The sequence below is a fragment of the Homo sapiens genome, chromosome 10, assembly GCF_000001405.40.
Source record: "Homo sapiens chromosome 10, GRCh38.p14 Primary Assembly".
Classification (NCBI taxonomy): Eukaryota; Metazoa; Chordata; class Mammalia; order Primates; family Hominidae; genus Homo; species Homo sapiens.
In genome coordinates this window covers 96,584,226-96,609,131 of record NC_000010.11, presented here as the reverse complement: position 1 = coordinate 96,609,131, position 24,906 = coordinate 96,584,226, and the positions used below count along the sequence as shown (strand labels likewise).

Sequence of the window (24,906 nt, the reverse complement as noted above, 5' to 3'; positions counted from 1 at the left end):
AATTTGAACATTCCAACTTTACAGGCAGGTTGAGGATCTAATTAGGAAATGCCTTCCTTTTGGCTGGAAAGCTTCAATAGTCGTCTGATTGCACAGACAATACAGCCTGATGCATCAGGCAGGAGCCGAGGGCTTTGTTCCCGTATCCAGGGCAGTGTTAGCTGACTCCAGACACATTGGCTTCACAAGCCACATAGATTGAGTTTCTCTTCTTTCATACATTTCAGTGCTAATAAAACAGCTAGGAAAGCAATAAAAGAGCCAGAGAGCAGCTGAATTTCAGGACTCATATCTCCTTAAATGTCGGGCAGAGAACCCCATAACGCATGTTGGAGCAGGAAGGTTATCTAACTCTGGGGGTTCTTAATCTTTTCTGCATCACAAAGCCCCTTGAGAATCTGATACATACTTTGGCTGTGTCCCCCAGATACATGCACAGGTGTATGCATGTGTCTGTGGGCACACACACACAATTTTGCCCACCCATGGACTTAGGTCAAGAACCTCTGAGCTAGTTTTCCTTCATCCTTTATAGATGGGGTATTTGTGACCCGGAAAGAGAGAGAATTTTGCCCAAGGTTACATAGCCAGTGAATGGCAAAGGTGCGAGTAGATCCTAGCTCCTTTCTCTGCCCTCATTACCTGTCAAAACAGACCCACAGCCTATCACGTGACTGCCTGGGAAGTCTAGTCTGGACAGAGGAGAAAACTTCCTCTTACATAATGGGGGTGATCATTTGTATGCAAAGCCCACTGGGGGCAATTTGAGAATTCTGACAAGTTCAGGAATGGGAGAGATGTCCTCAGGGATCACAGGTGGCAGAAGGAGCAAGGGACAGGTGGCTATCTCTGTCTCTCAGACCTGTGGAGGAGGAAAGTGGTAGAACCCTCTCAGGGTGAGAACAGTGCATCCCAGGGTGGGGAAGGAGAGTGACAGCTGGAAATTTAACAAGAGAAATGCACTAATTTCAGGTTCAGAGTAATTGAATAGATTTTGTGTATATGTTTTTTGGGGGATAGCCTGGGGTGAGGAGAAGATGGGAAGAATAAACTGTGCTTTTCCCCTTGTGCAGTGGTTTAGTGCCCAGGGTTGGCTGGCTCATCTGGTTAGAAAATGTTACTAAATGACAGACCAATGGATTTTACTCTACTTTGTGGCTGTAGTCTGCACCCGGCCCCTGTTATACAGTTTCTGTTATCTCTTGCCATGCAATAAACCATGCCAAAATGTAGTGGCTTAAAACAACCCTTCATTTATACCTTATCCTACAACTTAAACAGGACTCAGTGGGGGACGGTGGTTCATCTTTCCTCTGTGGCATCGGCTGGGGTCATTCATGAGCCAGCATTCAGCAGTAAGCCCTGCTTGGGCTGGAACATCCAAGGAAACCTCTCATCCTCCGGGGCCTCTCTACACGTGGCCTTTAATTCATAGCCTTTTATATGGCAACAAGATCTGGAGAGGGAATAGGCCAAAAGGAAAAGCTCCAGTTTGCTAGTGCCTGTCAAGCTTTGGCTTGCATCACACTTGCTAATGCCATATTGGCCAAAGCAGGTCACATGGCTAAGCTAGAGTGTGGCAGGGGGCAGGAGCATACAAAGGTGTGGATCCTGGGCGGGAGGTTGACTAGGGGGTCACTGGTGGTTAGTCTACCATCTTGAAATGGATAATAGTATAGATAGCTGCTTCCATTAATCAAATGCTTTCTCTTTGCATGCCCTGTGCCAAGCATGTCACCATATTTTCGGGTTCATTTTATACAACAGTGCTGTGAGTTTCTAGATAAGAAAATGGAGCAGAAAGGGTAGGCAACTTGCCCCAAGTCTCTTGGCAAGCAAGCAGGGGGTCTGGAATTCACATCTATGTCTTCCTGTGCTTTCAGCTGTGGGGGTGTACTGCCTTCCAAATAGAAATAATTCCCATGGCAGAGAGGGAGAGTGAGGATGGCCCAGCTTATCCACCAACTGCCCCTTAACCCCCTGAATCACACCCTAAAAAAAACACTGTTTTTATTATGGTGCAGCTGTCATCTCTTGGGAACCACAGAAAAACAGTTGCAGGTTAAATCTGGTTATAACTAAAAATTCAAGCGCCAGATATTAGTGTTATGTTTAAGAGAACAAAAATTTCAAAACAGAAAGGCTGTTGACCTCCTAGGTTGTCTGGCCCAAGTTTCTTTTTTCTTTCTTTCTTTTTTAAAACAGACGCTAGTTTCAAGTGTAACCAAGTTTCTTAAGAATCGTATTATACTTTTATATGGTCATTTTTTTCTCTCACTCCTTGATCCACCAAATACTGAGGATAGCTCTTTGTATACTGAGCTAGACTGTATGCTAGAGAACCAAAGATGAAAAAGAACCAGAGCCTGTCTTTAGGAGCCTTGTAACGGAGGAGAGAAAGTACAAGAGTAGCATGGCGTTAGATGCTTGTCCGATACTTCTCCCCTGATGGTAGAAGCCTACCAAGGGGTGGGCACTGCCCCCCTTCCCCCTGGCAAGTGTGAAGATGATGGGAGCTAGGGCCAGAGTCTCCTAACAACTGTGTAGCCTAGAGGGGATTGGGCAAGTAAGTCATCAGCTTGGAGAGGAGGAGGGCCAGGGCCAAGGTTCAGAGCCAAACATTGGGGTTGAAGATTTAAGAATGCCAGCAGAAGGGACAGTGGGAACTGATTGGTATGAGTTTCCGGAGTCATGGAGCTGGTGCCTGTGGCAGCTTTATGACTTCTTGCTAGTAGATAACCTTCAAAAGGATTATGGCTCATCGTAAGGGAATGTGATGAACAATGAGGAATGGCATGGGGAGGCTTAGCCACAGAGGGATGGGGGCCCGTGGGCCCGAGGGGCTACTTTTAGTTGGGGGAATGTGGGGAGGTTTTGATAGCATTTGTCCTGAGCCTTGGAGACTGAGGAGGTTTTAGACTTGTGGACAGGAGTGGGCTGGGAAGAGTAGGGAGAAAAAGACAGCCTGGTCCTTGAACAGTGTTGTGTATGGGTAACGAGTAGAAAGAGACAGGATCACATGTTCCTTTTTGTTTTTGTTTTTGTTTTTGAGACGGAGTCTCACTCTGTCGCCCAGGCTGAAGTGCAGTGGCATGATATCGGCTCACTGCAATCTCTGCCTCCCGGGTTCAAGCAGTTCTCTGCCTCAGTGTCCCAAGTAGCTGGAATTACAGGCACCCGCGACCACGCCCAGCTAATTTTTGTATTTTTAGTAGATACGGGGTTTCACCATCTTGGCCAGGCTGGTCTTAAACTGCTGACCTCGTGATCCACCCGCCTCAGCCTCCCAAAGTGTAGGGATTACAGGCGTGAGCCACCGCACCCGGCTCATGTTCCTTAATAAACAATTTCTGCATCCCCTGGATTATAGAAACATTTTGACGTATTATTTTATTTAAAAATCTGTCCCCAAAAAAGAATTCAAAATTAGAATCTTAACCTGCTCTATTCAAGCTAACATCTAAATTAATTCGGTCAAAGTTGATACCAGAATGCAGTCAAAACTATTTTTTGACTACCTATAAACTTACATGACCAGGAGCTATTTGAAGTGGAAATTCAGCAAACCTAAGATCTTGACTATGTTGTTAGTGAGAATATTGGAAAATTAAAGTTAAGATCTCCTTATTTTTGTTGATTAACTCTTATTTTTTCTTCTTCTCTGCTAGATCACCATGTCCTGGGCTTTCTTCTAATGCTGTGCTGTCCAGTTATGGTAGCCACTGGCCACACGTGGTTATTTACATTTTTAAGTTAATTACAACTAAATAAAATTTAAAATTCATTTCCTTGGTTGCACTAGCCATGTTTCCCACTTGCTACCATATTGGATAACACACAGTAAAAGATGCCCTGAAAGTTCTATTGGATGATGCTAATCTAATGATACAGGTGATAAATTCCCAACTGAAAAGCCTTGAGTGCCTAAACTCACAGTCACAATTCTGACCATGAACATAAATTATACTTCTGAGGGCCCGGCATGGTAGCTCACACCTGTAATCCCAGCTCTTTGGGAGGCCGAGGTGGACGGATCATGAGGTCAGGAGTTTGAGACCAGCCTGGCCAACATGATGAAATGCTGTCTCTACTAAAAATACAAAAATTAGCCAGGCGTGGTGGCACGTGCCTGTAGTCCCAGCTACTTGGGAGGCTGAGGCAGGAGAATCCATTGAACCTGGGAGGTGGAGGTTGCACTGAGCCGAGATCGTGCCACTGCACTCCAGCCTGGGTAACAAAGCAAAACTCAGTCTCGGGGAAAAAAAAAATTATACTTTTGAGTGTGTACTTTGCATTTTGTTTTGTGTCAAAGGGTCCGGCCCCTTATTACAAGGCGTGTCTGCATGGGTGATACATACCTGTTTGCTAGAATTCCTAAGCAAAAAACTGCAGCAACAAAGTTAGTTTGCAGATTTTAGAAATACCACTGAAGAGCTGAGAATCAGAATACCTTTGCTGTCTTGTCCTTCAAATTGGAGCACTAATATCAAACAGGATTTTCATAGGGGTTAAATGGCAATCACATTTTCAAAGCCCTCAGTCAATGGTAGCAGTAATGCCAAAGTTAGTCATCAAAAAGTGAATAATTTTGTTTCATGCTGAAAGAAAAACTGAACTCTAATAAAATGGTAGAAGGCTGGACATAGTGGTTCACACTTGTAATTCTAGCACTTTGAGAGGCTGAGGCAGGAGGATCGCTTGAGCCCAAGAGTTGAAGACCAGCCTGTGCAACAGAGTGAGATCCTGTTGCTACAAAAAAAAAAAAAAAAAAAAAAAAAAAAAAAAAATTGGCTAGGTGTGGTGGCACACACCTGTAGTCCCAGCTACTTAGGGGGCTAAGGCAGGAGGATCTTTTGTGTCCAGGAGTTTGAGGCTACCATGAGCTGTGATCATGCCACTGCACTCCAGCAAGACCTTGTCTCTAAGAAAACAAAAAGTATAAGATGGCCAAAGTTTGAAGAACCCCATACTTACAGCTTATGTATTATTTATATCAATAAAACTAAATAAGTTCTAGAGTTCTCTATTTTATTTTAGCCTGAAAGAATCCTCAATCCGGCTGATTTTCTTTCTACCCTTTAGGTAGCACAAGTAACCGCTCCAGCACCCGGAGCCTCCTCAGTGTGAGCAGCGGGATGGAAGGGGACAACGAGGTGAGAGCTGGGACTCCACCCCACCTATCCTGTCCTAGGGGTCGTTTCATCGCAAGAGATAGAAACCCAGGTGAAAGGAGCCAGGCACAAAAGGTCATATATTATAGGATTCCATTTATATGAAATGCCAGAGTGGGCAAATCCACAGAGACAGTTTGAAGATTGGTGGTTGCCAGCGGCTGGAGGGAGGAGGAATGGGAAGAAACTGCTTAATGGGGACAGGTGTATTAGGGTTCTCTAGAGGGACAGAACATATATATATATGTGGTGTGTGTGTGTGTGTGTGTGTGTGTGTGTGTGTGTGTGTATTAAGTAGTATTAACTCACACAATCACAGAGTCCCACAAGAGGCCACCTGCAAGCTGAGGAGCAAGGAAGCCAGTCTGAGTCCCCAAAACTGGAGAACTTGGAGTCCAGTGTTTGAGGGCAGGAAGCATGCAGCATGGGAGAAAGATGTAGGCTGGGAGGCTAAGCCAGTCTCTGCTTTTCACGTTTTTCTTCCTGCTTTATATTGGCTGGCAGCTGACTAGATGGTGCCCACGCAGATTAAGGGTGGGTCTGCCTTCCCCAGCCCACTGACTCAAATGTTAATCTCCTTTGGCAACACCCTCACAGACACACCCAGGATCAATACTTTGCATCCTTCAATCCAATCAAGTTGATAGTCAGTATTCACCATCACACAGGGTTTCTTTTTGGGGTGATGAAAACGTTTTAAGACTAGATAGAGGCTGCACAACATTGTAAATACACTCAATGCCACTGAATTGTCCACTTTAAAATGGTTAAGTTTATGTTAACTTCACCTCAATAAATAGAAAAGAAGGAAAGAAAGGAAGGAAGGAAATAGACAGCTGGAAATCCACTCTTACTAGTGAAACCTTAAGGGGCATCTGTGGGAAGGAGCAGGTGAGTCTCAGGGGATCCAGGGTTAGGGGCCGTGCTCTGGGTCTGGATTAGGAGCTGCAGGACCTGCCAGAGGGAGCCGGGGTCACTGTTCTGTGTATCCCAGGCCCAAAAGCTCTTTGGTCTCTGCTTCTCTGTGCACATCCGCTTTCTTTCCCCTCACACCTCTGCCTTCTGCTTCTCCACAGTCCCCTGAGTCCACTAGGCCTCCGAGCAGGGAGTAAGTTGCTGCTTTAGGTTGAGGCCCCATTCCAAGTTGGCCCAATTTGGGACATGTGTCTAGCTTGATCCAGGGACCAGTGGCTGGGACAAGCAGGAGGGGCCACATGGGTCACTGCCAACTCTGAAGCCTTCTGAGAAGAGTCCTTGGGTGGGCATTTCTAATAAGCTTCCACCTGATGCTGATGCTGACCGGCCACAGAGCACACTTTGAGTAGCAAGGAATTAGAATTCAGGCAATTAATGATCATTGGGGCCAGATTGTCTTCCTCAGTGCCTCAGTGACTTCAGGAAGAAATGGAAAGCTGCCAGGTATGGCTGGGTTGATTATCAATTTGCAAACAACCTTCAGCCCCAGCCTAAGGAGGACCAAGGGGCTTTTGAGTTACGGTTGTCCAGCTATGCTGGTTGCTGAATGTAGTTTTCGCCTTTCTTTCTCATCTTCTTTGCTGTAGGATAATGAAGTCCCTGAGGTTACCAGAAGTCGCAGTCCAGGCCCCCCACAAGTGGATGGGACACCCACCATGTCCCTCGAGAGACCCCCCAGGGTGCCTCCGAGAGCTGCCTCACAGAGGTAACATCAAAACTGATATGAAATTTTTCCCTTATCTCTGAATCCTAGGGGAGAATAGGACTTGGAAACACCTAAGATGACTAAAGAATAAGCGCAGAGCTGGGCGCAGTGGCTCATGCCTGTAATCCCAGCACTTTGGGAGGCCAAGGCGGGCGGATCACAGGGTCCAGAGATCAAGACCATCCTGGCTAACATGGTGATACCCCATCTCTACTAAAAATACAAAAAATTAGCCGAGCATGATGGCACACGCCTGTAGTCCCAGCCACTCAGAAGGCTTAGGCAGGAGAATTGCTTGAACCCGGGAGGCAGAGGTTGCAGTGAGCCGAGATCATGCCACTGCACTCTAGCCTGGGTGACAGAGAGAAACTGTCTCAAAAAAAAGAATAAGTACAGAGCTAATTGAAATGCCTACTCCATTGGACACATTTCAATGTGGACCCTTCATTAATTTAAGTGATGCATTATTTAGTTGCAAATACTTTAAATAGCAAATGCAATGTTTCATAAATGAAATACATTGAAAAATGTCAACTTTTAAAATTGTTTTTATCAGTTTGGCTAGAATTCAACTCTCCAATAACTAATTCCCTTGGCTGGACTGTAGGGACAGTGCCTTTTGGGGAACAGAAAATATGAAGGAATTGGAAATGAAAATGCAGGTGACAGGCTACATCGTATGGTGGTGGGAAGCCTGACTCTAGAGCCCCCCTACCTGGGGTCAAGTCTCCAGCAGCTATTTGCAAACTTGCAAGAACTATTTAACTTTCATGTATTTCAATTTCCTTTTTTTTTTTTTTTTTTTTGAGATAGATTCTTGTTCTGTTACCCAGGCTGGAGTGCAGTGGTGTGATCTCGGCTCACTGCAACCTCCGCCTCCTGGGTTCAAGTGATTCTCCTGCCTCAGCCTTCCGAGTAGCTGGGATTACAGGTACCTGCCACCACGCCTGGCTAATTTTTGTGTTTTTAGTAGAGACAGGGTTTCGCCATTTTGACTAGGCTGGCCTCGAACTCCTGACTTCAGGTAATCTGCTCGCCTCAGCCTCCCAAAGTGCTGGGATTACAGACATGAGCCACCATGCCCAGCCTCAATTTCCTTGTCTATAAAATGAGGATAATAACAGAACTTTCTGCAGAATCATAAGCATTGAGTTCTTGGCCTATAGTGAGAACTCAGCAATATAAGTGATCTTTTTTTTTATACAGGAGAGGAGTTAATATCTAGAGATTTGGAGATGAGCATTAGACTAAAGAATTTGACTAATTTACTAGATTTTGATGTATGCCTTTGTTTATATGATACTTGGGCCTCTGGTAGGAACCTTTTTATGGTTCAGTCTTGTGGAGTAACGGAAAAAGTGGTCACAGCTAGCTGTGTGTCCACAGATGCAGAAAGGAGCCCTTGGGAATAAAAGCCAAGGCTTGTCTGAGGAGTTAACTCTTCGATGTTTAAAATAAAATGTTCATGTGTTAATGGGGCATAAGGAAGGAGGAAGCTTTTCTTCAACCAGGGTTTTGTTTTGATTTTTGCATTTTGAAACTTTTAGATGAAGCTCATCAGTGGAATTTGTTGAGAAAGTGCAACAAGGAGGTCTTTCTTCTGGTGTTCTGGAAAGAGAGGCTGGCTCTGTGCTAAGGATCTTTCCATTTCTCCCTTTGCTATTTATCACTTTCTCATGCGCTCCCAGCAACATTTGTGTGTTGGCACTTGCTACTCAAACATCGCCCAGGCCCAGGCTGTGCCACACCCACCGGGCATGCTTTCCTGGTGTAGACTGGAAGGCACGGATTAGAATATTAGTCCTGGAAGGAAGCTTAGCAGTAATCTAGTCCCATCCCCTGAATTTGCACTGTGCTCTGTTGCTTGAAAATTATCACATAGTTGGTGATTGGAGGGCTTACCAAGAGCAGTGATGGTGATAAATGCTGTTATTTATTGAGACTTACTATGTGGCAGGTATTCCGTTAAACATACTAAATGCATTATCCTGTTTAATTCTCTCCACAATCCTAAGACGTAGGTATTTAGTGTTATCCCATTTTGCAGATGTAGAAACTGGGGCTTGAGATTGGGCTGAGACTTGCTGTGTGTGGCAAACCTGCCAGACTTCATCTCATAGGCATTGTTTTATACCTCTCCAAGAAAGTCTCAGTATTAGGGGAGGAGGTTCAAGATCCAAGGCCTTTTATTCCTGAAGGTGAGGACTTTGGAAGCAGTTGTCTAATTGTACCAAGATAAAAGAGTTGTCAAGTTTAAAACTTTAGCTACAAGGTTTCGGTGGGATTTTGTTAACAGAAGAGAAAGAGAAGACAACCGGGGAAACAGGTTCCAAAAATTAAAGGATAGAAACTAGGAAGCATGTAAATGTGTAAAAAGAGATGGTGGTTGAGTTGTTTGGGGAGTCTGGAAGCAAGTTGTGATAGAGATGGGGAGAGAAAAGGAGGAAAACATTTTTTGCTAAAGAAACAATGTTTACGAAGCAGTTTGTAATTGATAGAACTTGGGGTTTGGGTGCATTTTTGGTGTGAAAAAAGATGTGTGAGTATGCAATGTTCACAATAAAATACGGGGATATTTGAGCAGATAATAAAATGGGACTCTCTCCAGAATGACTTCAATGTTTGACCTGCTTATAGACAGGATTGAAGGCTGGCCTTGGTGTCCTAGACTCCACTGTCAGATCTGGGCATCAGCATCTCTTCTCTGCCCGTGTTCTAACCTCCCTGCTAACCCCTGGCCCAAACCAAACAGCACTGGTAGTACAGCCTCCATCCCACTCCATCCCGGTTCTGGTCCTTGCCTCTGCTCACTCTACATGCTATCCCAGAGCTTGAATTGCCACCAGCAGACAAAGACCCCAAGTCTCCATCTCCATCTCAGCCTTCTCTTTCCTGCAGTTGACTGGGGATCTTCATTCAGGGACCCCACCAATATCTCAAACATAGCCTGTGCAAAACTGAACTCATCAGCCCACCTACCATTCTCTACCCCAAACTGCCTTCTTCTCATGAGTTCCCAGCCTGAGATAGTGGGACCATTCTCTCCCTTCCCCAAGCCCCAAACCTGGGAGTCATCCTTGATCCCTGCCCCCCTCACAGCTCTCATATCCAGTGTGTCTTCATGCTCTGTCCGTTCTGCTGCTCTTTCAGCTGTCAGATCCGCCCTCCTTTCCATCTGCTAGTGCCTAAGTTCATTCTTGAAGGCCCACACTTACCTCCCTTCCTCCAGTCACTCCCTCCTCCACATTGCAGCCAGAGTGCCCTTTCTAGAACAGGAATAGCTGATGATGCCATTGCCTGGCATAAAAGCCTTCACGTTTAATTCTGTGTATTTCAGCATTCTTTGGCTCTGCCTAGCTCAAGTCCTGCCCCTCTCCTGTATTCACCGATGATCTGCCACTTCAGCATTCCCAGTGAGCTCTGCCACTCTGTACTGTTTCTTTGCCCAATCTGTTCCTTTTGCCTGGAATGCTGTCTTCCTACTCCCTTCTACTCTTGCTTAGAAAATTCCTATACATCCTTTAGGACTCAGTTCAAACATCACCTCCTCTGTGAAGCCCTCCCTAATGTTCCCATGCGAGTGAATCTTCTTTTGGTTTCCCAAGCACTTCTATTATATTCTATACTCTAATAATACACTCTGTGTTGCGACCCTTGTGTAGATGTGTCTCCTCAATGAATGGCGAACCTGTGAGACACCATTTTTGACTTTTAATTTTTTTTCTCCTATCCCTAGTGCCTGGCAGAGTAAGTGGCACATACTAGGAACTTAAAAGGTACTCACTGTGTTAAGTGAATGGATGGAAGGATAGATTGGTACTGTTTGGGTTGGACTTCCGGAGCTCTTAAAAAAAGTAGCCATCAAGTCATCTACCACCGTATGCAGGGGGGTTATAGATGAGTGAAAGAAACTTCACACTCTTGGCCAGGCACAGTGGCTCATGCCTGTAATCCCAGCACTTTAGGAGGCTGAGGCAGGGAGGGAGGGATTCCTTGAGCTCAGGAGTTTGAGACCAGCCTGGGCAACTTGGCAAAATCCCATCTCTACAAAACAAACAAACAAAAAAAATTAGCCAGGTGTGGTGGTGTGTGCCTGTAGTCTCAGGTACTCGAGAGGCTGAGGTGGGCAAATTGCTTGAGCCTGGGAGTTTGAGGCTGTAGTAAGCTGTGATTGCGCCATTGCATTCCAGCCTGGATGACAGAGTGAGTCCATGTCTCAAAAAAAAAAAAAAAAACAACAAAAAAACAAAAAAAACCCACTATAATTATAGGTCTGCAATTATAAATAAGTTTCCTTGAGATGTAGCTTCCAATCTTTAGCTGGAGTTGTTCCTCAGAATGAAACCTAGAGAGGGTATGCCCATAGGCCCACCCCAACTGCACAGTGTGGCAGCAGAAAGCGGAAGAGGGGCTGGGAGGAAATCATGGTTGTCTTTGTGATAGAAGATAAAATGTAAGGCTCATGGGGCATACCTGGGGAACAGATTTCAGAATAGATCTTTAATCGTCATTATCTCATTATTAGCTTTACTTGTTGTGTGCCTACTCCAAGCCAGAAACTGCTACCTACTTTCCTACTGTCATCTCCAAGCCTCACATGGTACTCCAACGTAGGGATCAGTACCTCTGTTTGGCAGATGAGAAAACAATTGCAGAGGCGTTGAACTTGCACACACAGAGATATATGCATAAATGTCTATGCTATATGTTCCTATAGGTTCTGAACCTCCCTTACCAAATTGCTCTGTAGAGTTTACTGATTTTTTGCCTATTGTCCGTCTCATCCACACACTTGCATCATCTTGAGGGCCTAATCCATGACCACTTTACTTGCTGTTATATCCCATACCCAGGAGTGGATATAAAGTAAATTAGTGTTTGTTGAAAGAAAGAAAGAAAGAAAGAGAGAGAGAGAGAGAGAGAGGGAGGGAGGGAGGGAGGGAAGGAAAGAAGGAAGGAAGGAAGGAAGGAAGGAAGGAAGGAAGGAAGGAAGGAAGGAAGGAAGGAAAGAAAGAAAGAAAGAAAAAAAGAAGGCAGAGAGGTGGGCAGGCTAAATTTGCTCAGGTAAAAGTGGTATCATGCCCTTTGGCTTTCTCCTATAACCCCAAACTCACAGGGCAGGCTGAAGAGATAGAAGGAGGCCATCCTTTTTTTTTTCATGGTATAAAGCTCAGTCACTCAGTGACAACCATACAAAACCATCTAATCCTGGGACTAGGGCAGGACCTCCCAAGGTTGTCTGTGATTCTTATTTTCTGCTCCTGCCTCCCTCTCTTGCTCCTGAGGCAGCCCCTCTTTTCCCAACTCAGTTGTCATTTCCTTGACCTATACAAACCTTGCATTCAAGAGACATTTAGTACATATTTACTCTTTGATTCAATCAATCCTCAAGTATGCAACTCCAGGGTGGCACAGTTCAATTATAGCACCTAACAAAGCTCTTTTTCTTGACTTATTGACTTGCTTCCAAGGGAATTAAATATTGGTTTTACAGTACACACGTGGAAATGCCATCTGTAATCCTTGAACCTGTCTGTAAATAGACTCACCCTAGTCTAACTGGAATGTCATTTAAGACTGTTCAAAAACCATACAGAATAACATGGAGGGAAGTTTCTAGGAAGGCAGATGCAGAGTTGGGATAACAGTTGAGATAACAGTTATCTCATGAGGAAGCAGTCATGAGAAGCAGGCTTTGGAAATTCCAATTCCTCTCTCAACAAATCTCCCTACTACAGTGTGTCTCCCAAGTGGCTATTAGAATTGCTGGTGTTTTAAAACCTAGGTTTTATTATTATGTAGGTATGGCAAAGTCAACAGCTCAGGAGACAACTGCCACTGAAAAGATAGTTTGTTATACTCACAGATCCCAAAACAGGGGTACATCAACCCATAGGGGGCTACATGGGGAAGCATCAGGGCCAGTGAGGAGGCAGAGGAGCAGGGGAAAATGTGGACAAGAGCTTTTATTGTGGTTTCCATGGGACAAAACAGGTGAGCCTGGGTAAGATTTAGAATTGGCTAGTTTGAATAATTTCATTGGCTCTGAGGCATAAGGGCTGACTCTAGTCGTCTGGTACCTGGCCCTAGGGTGATAAGGGCAAGTGGATGGTGGCCCCATAAAGTGGAGTGTGAAAGCCCCATAGAGGAGGTGGTTGGGGCATGCATCTGGACTGGTTGGTTTGCATACGAAAGGTATATTTAGCACTGGAAGGCAAGTAGCTTGTTTGCTGTTTCTAGGAATTTTAGCTTACCCTGGGAGGGGCAGTCTCTCCAGGGTCAGCAAGGCCCCAAGATGGCAAAACATCAGATAATGAAAGGATTGGTGAGGACAGCTGTTTGGGGAGGGAAACTATTCAAAAGCTTTGTGGCTTGAGTCCTATCCTCTAGAGCTTAGAATGCGATGGGTCTGGGATGGATCCTTGGAATTGGTATTTTTAAAAGCTCCACTGGTGTTTCTAATGTGCCGCCAGGATTGCAAGCCACAGCTAGCATGCGTGTCACTCATACATTCATATGTGTGTCCTGTCTCATTGAGGATTGTGTCCTTTGCATAGTATACCAAGTTTGCAACAAATTGTGCATTCCTAAGAACTGTTTAATCAAATTAGTTTTTAAATAGAGTTGCCTTATCTTTCATTTTAGGCCTCCGACCAGGGAGACCTTCCATCCTCCTCCACCTGTTCCACCCAGAGGACGCTGATTCCACCTCCTAAAACCTGCCTACTTCAGGACTTTAAGACTCACAGTCTTCAGCCTGTTAATGATGTCTTCATGTTGAGTTTTATAGCATGACTGTTGACCTTAAGATCCATTCTCATTGCTGATAATGCTGCAGCCCTGCTGGTTTGGGCTTGCCTCGAAGATTTTATTAAGGCACGAAGAAGTGAAAAACTAAGGGCTTCATTCACCATCACCAAGTATATCGAACCATATACTTGTTTGCCAAAAGGATGAAGACTTAATCGAAATACTTACCTCTAATTTGCCATATCAGAAGCCTAAAAAGAATGATCATAAATGTACTTCACCAGTGATTTTACTGAAATGCACTTATATTAGTCTTTATGTATTTGCTAGTTCAGCCTGATTTCTAGAAGAGGTTATAGTGTGAGACTTGTAGTATTCAAGTAAGATAAGTGACCTAATTTTAAAATAATTCTTCTACTTTTCTGTATATTCAGCAGGGTATTTAAGTGCTAGGGCTGGTCACACACAACCAACTGAAAAAGACTAGAGGGATTAGTACAAACTCCTCTTATACAGAAGGCAAATCTGAGGTTCCACAGAAGTCTGGAACCAAGACTATTCAGTTGGTTAAATAAAGAGGTTAGTCTAGACTGGGCCTGCTCATTCTAGGTCACCACATTTTCCATCTCCAAATAGCCAGGCCCTCTCTCCCTCAAGAAATGCCCAGATGTAGAAATTCATCAGTGCCTATTGGTCTTCCAGAATTTTCCATCTTCCGTATCTCCCAGGCATGAGACTACCAAGTTTGTTTGTTTTCTTTCCAATTTGGGAATTTATACTTCAGTATGGTTTCAACGCAGTTATGTTTCCAGAGAACATCTAGAAGTGGCTGGAAACCAGAAGCTGGGGATTCCAGGGACCCCACTTAGTGCTCTATTTCCTTTATAGGTTTTATTTCTGGTCATAGAGAGAGAAGGACCTTTGACTTTTTCTTCGTTGAGGCTTCTGAGGAGGAAAAACAAACCTAAAATAGAAATACAGTCAGCCTTTCAAATCCATGGGTTCTGTGTCCGTGGATTCAACCAACCTTGGATCAAAAATATTTGAAAAAAAATCTACAAAGTTTCAAAAAGCAAAACTTGAATTTGCTGCATGCCAAGAAGTATGTTGAATTCATGTAAATGAAGTGATGTGTAGGCATTGTATTAGATATTATAAGAAATCTAGAAATGATTTAAAGCATACAGGAGGATGTGCATAGGTTATATGCAAATACTATGCTATTTTATATATGGGACTTGAGCATTTGTGGATTTTGATACTGGGGGATCCTGGAACCAATCCCCCATGGATACCAAAGTACGACTGTAGTTATCTATTTTTTACATACTTATTATTACCACCATGCTCAGTAAGTCCATTTTTGCATGGAATATGGAGCCTTAAAACATGTCATGAATTTGGAGTCCCTGGCACATAAATCTACCTTCAAATCAGAGGTCCTTAATGATGCCTAAACATACAGTAAAATTAGAATCAGAAATACTTCTTTAAAAAATATTCAAAATGTGTTTGTTTCCCATGGGATTATTCTCTATCCCACACGAATGTAAAAAAATCCACATTAATGATCCATTTAAGTATAGTTTTATTGGGTCCTTTTCTAATGATTAAAGGTTCTTTCTCAATTTCATTCCTCAGTCCTGCAAGTAAGGACTCATACTGAAGAGTACTGAAACAAGGACTTCTTGTCAGAAACAGCTTCTGGAATCTTGGGTTTTGTTTTTGTTTTTTGACAAAATACACTATTGGCCATGTCCATCACGAGAGTGTTTGTAGTAATTAATTACCTTGTACAGGACCTGGCACTTAGTAGCATTCTTCAAATGTTCCCTCAGTGATCCTTTTACTCTCCTTGTCACTTATTTGGGAGAAATAGGGGCACGTGAGATAAGAAGAAGAATAATTTTGATGTTGGTATGCTTGCCCTGTTACTTATAGACAGTCTTTGTCATAGGCAAACTTGAATTTGATTTAAAATAGGGCTGGGAAAAATATTCAATAACTGTAAGCCCCCTTTTGGATGCCAAACTTAGAATTTTGTACATTCTCTGATGAACAAGCATTTAGATCGTAACATGGTAAAGCCTATTACCAGCCAATGTTGTTAGCATCTTTGTATGCACATCACTGTTTGTGCAATATATGAATATTTTGTTGCATTGTATTCTTATATAAAAATAAGTAGAAAACATAAAATTGAAATTGCTGATGAGAAGCCTTGTCTCGTGAATGTGATACACTTGAGACACGGATGGAACTGATCAGGAGTGCCAAGTCAAAAGCAGCAGATCTTAAGCCCTCACTGGTTGTTCCTTTAACATCCAAAATGGTTGGTTATATGTAAAAGAAGAAAATGAAATAATCTGGATGAAACACTGGGACTGTGTTATCAAAGAATGTCTGTAGTGATGAGGTGAAAATTTTCATTTTCCAGAAACAGAACTGCTCATTTATAACATAAATATATTCAACTTCCACATACTCAACACATGTGTATACATTTTTAGGAGTACATTATGTAACAAAACCATGGATTTCCAATACAATGAGAAGCAGAAATGACACTGCAAGCTAGGGTCCAAAGAAACCATTAAAAAATTTTCTACATGATGCTTAGGCAGACAGCTCTGCTGCCACCATCCTTGCCCAAGATTTTACAAGCTGGCTCCATAGAAAGTGAAGCTGTTGGGTATATTCACCACCATTGCCTTTGCCCCTAAGGTAAATTGGCCTCCAATTCCTAGGCCAGCACTTTTATTTCATCTTATATTAAAACCTAGGAGCAGATAATCCAACTAAGCAACAAAGTATGAAGACTGAGAGACTATTTTTTTTTTTTTTTTTTTGAGACAAGAGTTTTGCTCTTGTCACCCAGGCTGGAGTGCAGTGGTGCCATCTTGGCTTACTGCAATTTCCACCTCTTGGGTTCCAGTGATTCTCCCGCCTCAGCCTCCCGAGTGGCTGGGATTATAGGCACCTGCCACCACGCCTAGCTAATTTTTGTATTTTTAGTAGAGACGGGGTTTCACCATGTTGCCCAGGTTGGTCTCAAACTCCTGACCTCAAGTGATCCGCCCGTCTCGGCATCCCAAAGTGGTGGCATTACAGGCGTGAGCCCCCGTGCCCAGCTGAAGACTGAGAGACTATGAACAAGAGGTTGGTGTTGTAATCTAATAATTTAACTGGACATATTTAATGATGTGAATAATCTCTAATGCTCTGCCTTAGTTACACAAAGTGGTAAAATATAGATGACTTCTACGAATATTTTTACAAGTCAAGCTAAGTTACACATCCCCTTTTAGCTTTGTTGTTACAAAAAAAAAAAAGGTTCTAGTCATTGCCATATCACTAGGATTTTTAGATTCCTCTCCCAAATGCCCCAGGAAGTAAGTTGGTTTTCTGTGTTCCTCCTTCAAAGAATAGTGTGTGGTTTTGCAGCTGGTTGGTGGAGGAAGCATCAGTAACAGATTTATTTCTGAGAAAGACAAGTGGTTAATTTGGAAAATTCTAAAAAATTCTTCCTAAGCATTAATCCTCAATTTTAAGGGATCTGCCTGTATAAATATTTGCTTTGGTTTGATAAATTGTGCTCTGTTCATTTCCAAGCAAGTTATTAAGAACATAAAATAGTCTTCTTCATTCATTCCTGCTGGCCAGACACTGTGTTCACCAGGGTGGTGAGGGGATGAGTAGGAGGTTGAAAGATATATTCTGAATTCTGAGGCACAACTTGGAATTCACTTCTCGTAAAAATCATAAAAAATAGGTTCTTAGGTGTTCTGTGTGGGAAATGCGCGCGGGAGGAGACACACACACAATACCTTTAAGGGTAAACAAGCTTTATCCCAAATGGCAGTGCAGATATAAGCAAATGATATAATAAGCAAATTGCAATGGGAAGGGAGAAGGGAAAAGATATATATATGTATTTACACTCACCAGACTATGGAGGATTCACCACCAGACTGGGAAGCAACAGCCTGGGCTCCAGAGTTGGCCACTCGTCCATGCAGACAAGGAGAGGTCTCATGAAGCTTCGGCGCAGTCTGGAACCCTAGCTCTTTTTGTAACGAGTTGTTTGGCATGAGGTCCAGTCACAAGGGCCCTTTGTGACCAGGATCAAGGAACACAAAAAGGTCAACTTGTTTTTGCGGTTGTCTATTGTTTTTCAATAACTAATGTATAGGAATAGATTGAAATAGAGATTTCTCCGAAACAACGCTGGATGAACGCCTCAAAGAGCTCACACAATCCGTTCTGGGACTTGGTGACCATCGTTTGTGTCCATGTTCAATTGAGTTCAAATTTAATATTTAGGCTAGTCGCCAAAGCCCATTTAGGATAAAATGTCTTTGCTATCTCTGCAGTAAGAGTTAGCATGGTATAGGGAAGAGATTGTTTCGGAAGCCAGGAAACCTGGTCTTTTATTTTGGTGTGCTACTTACTTGACGAGTTCACATAACTTGACTACCTTGTTCTATGTTTCATCACCTACGAAGTGGAGAGTTGTGTCTTTGGTAACAGTCTAGGTCTCTTCAACTCTGTTAAGTCTAAGTCTCAGAAAGAGGGTGTGGAATCGCTTTGTCGGAAGAAGCAGGGAGACAGCCTTAGTGGCATCACCACCTAATTGGCAAGGCTCTTTTTATTATGTGGCACCTGCTGTTCCTTGCTCTGTCTCACTGTTATATCAGTTAAAAAACTGAGAGACAGTGAAAGAGGAACCACACAAAGAAACTAATGGCCTTAGTTGCTCTTCAGTCCAAGAACTAAATGTTCTCAGTAATGGCTTCCTAAAGAAAGAACTCAGAGCAATCATGAAGATCTGTGTCTAGAACATTACAGCCAGAACAGAAACGGTGGAGGTGGAAAATGGCAAATAGCAATAGACGAACTGTCGCCCACCCTGCTGAAGTACATAACTGGCAAGACAAACATAACAAAGTAGAAGGAAGAAATAGAATTTCAAAGAAAAAGTAGCTGATGATAGAAATCAGAAGATATGTGGTCAATCCATACCCTAATACTTTTTTTTTTTTTTTTTTTTTGAGACAGGGTCTGGCTCTGTCACCCAGGCTGGAGTGCAGTGGCACAATCAGCTCACTGCAACCTCCACCTCCCAGGTTCAAGCCATCTTCCTACCTCAGCCTCCTGAGGAGCTGGGACCACAGGCACGTGCCAGCATGCCCAGATACTTTTTTTTTTTTGTATTTTTTGAAGAGACAGAGGTGTCACTCTGTTGTCCAGGTTGGTCTTGAACTCCTGAGCTCAAGCAGTCTGCCCACCTCGGCCTCCCAAAGTACTGGGATTACAGGGGTGAGCCACTGTGCCTAGCCCCCATACCTAATAGTTTTGATGATCATGTTTACCCAGAATGAAAATAAAAGACTGACATTTTGGTTTTCTGGATTGCTTGCTGGTCATAAGCTCTTTAACCAAAATGGAGTCTTATTAGAGCTACCATAGAAAAGAGGCTGTATAGCCACTGGGGGAGGTGGGAAATGCCTTTCACCGGCATTTTCTCCCCACCGCTGCCATCCTTTTTGGTGTCAGGGAATGAGGTCATTCACCCAGATGAAATAAGTGGTGAAATAAGGTATGTTAATGTTTTTCACTCCCCAGTTTAGTGAAACAACCCTAATTTTGATGGTGACCTGAGCCCTGTTTTGTCCTGTTGAGGTCATCAGGCACCTAGGATCTTTGAAGCCACACTTCTTTTACTCTAATCAGTTACTTTATCTCCCTTTCCTTCTTTCCACACCTACTGCTGTCAGACTTGTATCACCTAATGCCATTTATCAGCATAATTCCCCTAGTACCTACCAGAGTGCCTGGTACATAGTAGAGGCTTAATAAATAATCGTTGAATTAATGGCTCTACCTGCTCTTCCATCCATTAAATTTTCCCAAATACTCCTCTGAAATAGGGTTTCTTTCCACTTCTCTCATTGCCCATTGCTTTTACTGCCTGTTGACCATTTGCACAGTTGGCCAGCTTTTGTGTTCCTTTTTAAAAGTACACTGTCATGCCTGTTCTTTGTTGTGTGTGTAGTTTCCTGGTTTTAATCTATCCTCCCTAAATGAATATACTTTTTCTTGTGTCCTCCCTACCTCCAAGCATTTGCCAACCCAGTCCTCCCCAAAACACCTGCCACATGCATACTACCTCAAATCTGTGGAGGGTGGTGATGGATACTTAAGAAACTACACATCCATCTTAATGTAGCACTTACACGGCTTGTTCTTCAATTGCACATCATCACTTCATTCAAGAGCAGTGATTATTCATTCACAGAATTGACTGAGCTTTCACTATGAGCAAGTCACCCTGCTAGGTGCTCGGGAGGATATACAAAGATGTATAAGATGCCTCCTCTGATTTCTACAGCAATTACTGGTGTATGATTCATTCAGCAATTAATCATGTACTGCTTTGTGATGTTTCTTACACTATCTAGAAAGCATTCTTCAAATCTTGCTATGCTATTTGACTTTTCACTTGTTAATGTCTTCATTCATTCAGCAAAGAGTTGAATACCTATGATGTGACAAGCACTATCTCAGCAGCTGGGACAGATATAAAGACAAACAAATCATAGTCCCTGCAATCAAAAAGGTCCGAATGCAGTGTAGAAGAGGAAATGTGAATAGATAATTACAACACAACACGCCAAATGCTATTGAAATCCCAAAGAAGGAATGCTCCATTTCTCAAGGGATCATGCAAGGTTTCACTGAGGAGGTGATCATCAGCTAGGTCTGAAAGGATAATATCTAAGGCACAAGGTGAAGCAGAGCATGCCAGATAAAGGGAGTATAAAGAGCAAAGGCACAGAGGTGTAAAAATATATACGGGTGAATGCAGAGCATAGAAATTGGTGGAAGGTAAAGTTAGGGAAATAAATTAGGGATAAAATAGGCAAAAATTTGGACTTTATCCTTTAGCAGGGAACTTTTTTTCTGATTACATAGTTAGCACATGCTCACTGTAAAAAATAACCAAACATTTATAGGCATGTACAAAGTAGAAAGTTAACCACTGATAGTAGTTTGTTATAATCTTTCAGATTGTTTTCTATGGGCAGACTAACATATTGCCATATAAAATGAAGTTAAACTCTTATTTTCTTCAACTTGAAAATTTAACAGAACCTCTTGGTTATCATTCCATGCCAGTACTTACCTATTTCCTTTTTTTAAAGTGGCTGTATAGTTGGTAAATCATTACCAGCAAAAAGACCTATTATGGAGCCAGACTGAGTGGGTCTGGTGTTTCAGCAAGCCACTCAAGCTCTCTGTGCTTCAGTTACCTCATCTGTAACAGGAACATTTTCACCGTACCTGCTGCATAGGGTTTCTGTGAGAATTTAATGAGCCAATATCGTTCAGAATAGTGCCTGGCAGATGAACGCCCTCGTGGTGACTCCATGATTTATTTACCTAACATTGAAGAACTGTTTTAAGCAAGGGAGTGAGCGATATAATCTGGTTTCTTTTTAGAATAAAAAAAACATCACCCTGGCACCTGTTGGGGATGTTAAACGGGAGGAAGATCAGTCAGTGATGGATATCTTCTTGTGAGACTCTTGCAATACATAGTGATACGGAAGACTGGTTGGTACTGGCAGAGGAAGGAGAGGAAAAATAAACTCTTGAACCACTTTTAAGAGACCAAATGCTAGAACTTGTTGACTGCTGATGGCTGAGAAGAGACAATCTGACAAGTTCGAGATTTTTGGCTTAGTGGCCTGTGTAAATGGTGGTGCCACATTCGTATATTTTTTTTTTTTTAAAGATTTTTTGTTTCAGTGTCTACTACGGATCTGGCACTGTTCTAGGTACAGGAAATACGGAAACAGGATCTCTGCTCCGAGGAGCTTACACTCCAAGAGATATTTATGACTGGGAAGAGGAGACCCAGAAATAGTTAAGTAAACACATAAATGAACAAGAATGGCAAGCTAACTTAGCATGTCTTGATTGAACAGTAGGGGTCCAGTAAATATTCAGTAACTTTAAAACATCCAACCCTGTACGAGTTTAACAATCTCTCCTAACGGTGATTACAGGAGCCCGTGATTCATTCACAGCGGCAGACGAGCGCCAGGAAAGGGTTATTTGATCTGATCCCTCAAGTTCCGGAGGCAGCAGGTCAGACGATCGGCCCCATTTGGCAGCCAGGAAAAAAGCTTAAGCATTTTGGCCAAGGTTACACAACCCGAAACACCGGGACGCGGCCCGGAGGCGGCTTCGGCCTTGCGGTCCAGGCTAGGCCACTGCGCCGGGGCCCAGCCTGCTCGGCGCCCGCCCGAGTGCTCGGCAGGCCCGTAGCGCCGCGGCTCCCAGGAGCCGAGGGGCAGCCGGCGCGCAGGCGGCGGTTGCCGGGCCCTCCCTCGGCCCGGCGGCGGTGGCGGCCCCGCGTCGCGAGGCACTTCCGGCGCGTGCCGGGGTGGCCGGATGACGTGGCTGAGTCAGAGGAAGAGGCTGAGGAGGCGCGGGGGGCGGGGGAGGCTCAGGAGCGGGCGGTGACGGCGACGGCGGCGGCAGAGGAGGCAGCGGCTGGGCCGGGCCCCGTGCGTCTGTCCGCGCCCCGTGGATGCGAATCGGCCGCGGCGGAGGCGGCGGCGGCGGAGGAGGCGGCGGCGGGAGGAGGAGTCGGTGAGCCGGCTCCGGGCCGGAGGGGCGCGGAGGATGAGGCCGCTGCCTGGCGCTCTTGGCGTGGCGGCGGCCGCCGCGCTGTGGCTGCTGCTGCTGCTGCTGCCCCGGACCCGGGCGGACGAGCACGAACACACGGTGAGGCGCCCCGGCCGGCGCGGCCGCCCCGGGCTAGCTCCCCAGTTGCCCACTGAGGCAGGCCCCACGCAGCCTGGAGTGCCCGGCGGCCCGGTGGTGCCCCACTGCGGCCCGAGGACTCCTTCCGGTTGGGCCTGGCGGAGCAGGAACCTTGGGAGCGTGGAGGAGGCATTTCCGTGCGCTCCCGGGACAGGGCTCCGCTCCCGAGTGACAGGGTCTCCTTCCCCCGGTCTGGGCCTCAGTGGCGCCGCACCCCAGGGTCTCGGGGTTCCTGGGACCCTGGGGCCAGGAAGGAGCCTGGGAAGGGTTGAGGTTCATCCACCGCGGGAGCGGGGCAACGGGCAGGCTGGGCTCGGGGCTTTTGCCCCCCAGGGAAGGAGACTGCCTTCTGGCTACTGAGGGCTGCGACGCCGAGGAAGATGGATGCATCGTGATTACCCGGCAGCCACTAACCAGGAAATATCCTACACTTTATGGTCTCCTTTGGCTTTTATCGCCCGCTTCTGCCCAGACCGGATTAAAACCCTGGGGTGGGGCAGCATTAATAAACTTGAATTGAAGAGCAGTTTATACTTACTTGTAAGTGCACCCAACCTACACGCGTTCAATTCCTAGGCCTTTCTTGTAACTTTCTCCTCACCTTCCAGCCCCTAAGTGAGACCCCCATCCCGATAGTCTCTAACTAAGGCAGCTTCTGACAGTAAAGGGTCTTGACGTTTCCCAGTCTTCAGGTCAGGGCCAGAAACAGTCCCTTTTGCATTTGGCCTAAAGGTGATTGGCAGTTTGTTTAATTGGTATTCTCACATCAAAACGTGCATGTGAACGACTCTTCAAATGGCTTTCACTTAGGGCTGTAACTGTGGTTTTCAGAGTGGTAGACTTGAGCAAGGCAGGAAGGTCAGGTAAATTGAGAGTTTGCTTGACGAGTAATTGTTTTTTATACCTTTACCATTAATGATAGGAGTTTCTATGAGAGACTGTGTTTGTACTAAATCAGAACGATCTGAGGGAGTCTTATGTCATTTCTGGTAAGTGAGGAAATGAAGCAGTCGTCCTTACCTATTTAATGGATCCGATTTTATTTGTAATCAACAAAACTTTTCGCTGGATCCTTGGCTAGCTGGGATCTTATTTTAGCTAATAAAAGCTCTAAACTTTTGACTGTTCTACCTTCGGTCACAGCCAGAAACTTCTTACCTGTGTAGGTATGTATTTCTTTAGAGACACAAATCTCGAATTGGTGACATGTTTTTGTACTGTACTTGTGGTGTTTCACCTAAGATAATTTTGTTGGGAGGTTAAACAGCTTAAAACGATTTCCTTTTGTGTTCTTTCATCAGATAAGCTGTCTCAAAGTTTAAGAACTGCTATTGTTTCACATAGTATACAGGGACCATGTATAGATTTGGGTCTTTGAGTATTTTTAAATTTTCAGTGGGCATCCATCCTTCTGTTTAATGATATTATTACTAATATATTTCCAATTAAAAAAACACTTAGGAAAAGTTACCATATGAAACTCAGAACTCTCAATGTGTAGTTCCGTGATACAGGCATATAAGCTCAAAAGTGTACTGTATTCTACTTTTTAATCTTGTAATCTTGTGACTTACACTGCTGTGATTAGGGAAACCATTAAAATTTTACAAATTGGGTGTATATAAAGGCTTTAGAATAATTTACAAATTAAAAGTGTAATTTCAATGCAGTTTTATTGCTAGGACTATTTCAGTTTTTTATTCTAGTAATTGCATATAAGATATTTGATAAAAGGTTTTTGTTGACTGCCACGAAAGATAATATGGTATATATGAGATGGTTGCTAGACAAAAAATTTAGAATCCATATTACTTCATGTCTATATTGAACTGCTCTTACTTGGTTACCCATTATTAAATACCTATTATTTATTTATTTATTTTTGAGACAGAGTCCCACTCTGTTGCCCAGGCTGGAGTGCAGTGGTGCTGTCTCACATCACTGCAACCTCAGCCTTGCGGGCTCAAGCGATTCTCGTGCCTTAGCCAAGTAGCTGGGATTACAGGTGTGCGCCACCACACTTAGCTAATTTTTGTATTTTTAGTAGAAAGGGGATTTCGCCATGTTGGCCCGGCTGGTCTTGAACTCAAAACGACTGGCCTCAAGTGATCTGCCTGCCTTGGCCCCACAAAGTGCTGGGATTACAGGCATGAGCCACCACGCCTGGCCGAATATGTATTGTAAAAAGCAAAACAAAAACAAAAACAGTTATGGGAAGAATAGCATCTAAAAATAAGCATAAAATTCAAATGTCATTTATATTATTTTTTCACTGTTAGCCAAAATCTTTTGCTTTTTCTAAATTTCTTGAAAATATTTCTCAAAAACTAGGCATTCCTATTCCTCTTAGCCAGATAGTAGTACCGAAAAGGCTAATGTCAAGTGAGTTTTATTTATTTTTTTCTGTCAAAGAAGCAGAAGTAGCTAGTAAAGAGAGAATAATACTAAAGGAAGAGGAGACATTGGTGT

General features: G+C 43.9%; 2 protein-coding genes and 1 long non-coding RNA gene across 8 annotated transcripts in view, besides 3 other annotated features; 2 read left to right on the top strand and 1 right to left on the bottom strand.

Moving 5' to 3' along the window:
- PIK3AP1 (phosphoinositide-3-kinase adaptor protein 1) overlaps positions 1-15,817 on the top strand; it is a 127,200-nt gene extending 111,383 nt beyond the window's left edge. For 3 of the 4 annotated variants that reach the window (NM_152309.3, XM_047424566.1, XM_005269499.2), the window contains 3 exons: positions 5,083-5,153; positions 6,734-6,852; positions 13,498-15,817. In NM_152309.3, the coding sequence (NP_689522.2) occupies positions 5,083-5,153; positions 6,734-6,852; positions 13,498-13,555 (248 nt within the window). In that variant the 3' untranslated portion in view covers positions 13,556-15,817. The remainder of the gene's footprint in view (positions 1-5,082; positions 5,154-6,733; positions 6,853-13,497) is intronic. The other variant, XM_011539248.2, reaches the window with a different exon arrangement.
- Positions 1,368-22,068, bottom strand: LOC105378443 (uncharacterized). 2 transcript variants are annotated; one of them, XR_946220.4, is made up of 3 exons: positions 20,789-22,068; positions 17,548-17,713; positions 1,368-1,456 (listed from the first exon to the last, which is right to left on the bottom strand). It is a non-coding gene; the product is annotated as an uncharacterized LOC105378443 (long non-coding RNA). The 2 variants fall into 2 exon arrangements; XR_001747560.3 differs by lacking the exon at positions 1,368-1,456 and having other exon boundaries at positions 16,052-17,713.
- Positions 19,887-19,956: a silencer, noted in NCBI's record as "silent region_2655". NCBI's record gives its function as "represses an Ori minimal core promoter by ATAC-STARR-seq in GM12878 lymphoblastoid cells {active_cell/tissue: GM12878}" and the evidence as "EXISTENCE:reporter gene assay evidence [ECO:0000049][PMID:35858748]".
- Positions 20,953-21,012: an enhancer, noted in NCBI's record as "active region_3828". NCBI's record gives its function as "activates an Ori minimal core promoter by ATAC-STARR-seq in GM12878 lymphoblastoid cells {active_cell/tissue: GM12878}" and the evidence as "EXISTENCE:reporter gene assay evidence [ECO:0000049][PMID:35858748]".
- Positions 21,891-22,460: a silencer, noted in NCBI's record as "silent region_2654". NCBI's record gives its function as "represses an Ori minimal core promoter by ATAC-STARR-seq in GM12878 lymphoblastoid cells {active_cell/tissue: GM12878}" and the evidence as "EXISTENCE:reporter gene assay evidence [ECO:0000049][PMID:35858748]".
- The window catches only part of TM9SF3 (transmembrane 9 superfamily member 3), a 68,903-nt gene continuing 66,116 nt past the window's right edge, over positions 22,120-24,906 (top strand). The window contains exon 1 of one of the 2 annotated variants that reach the window (NM_020123.4): positions 22,120-22,398. In NM_020123.4, the coding sequence (NP_064508.3) occupies positions 22,297-22,398 (102 nt within the window). In that variant the 5' untranslated portion in view covers positions 22,120-22,296. Of the gene's footprint in view, positions 22,399-22,423; positions 22,978-24,906 lie in introns of those variants that run through there. The other variant, XM_011539976.3, reaches the window with a different exon arrangement.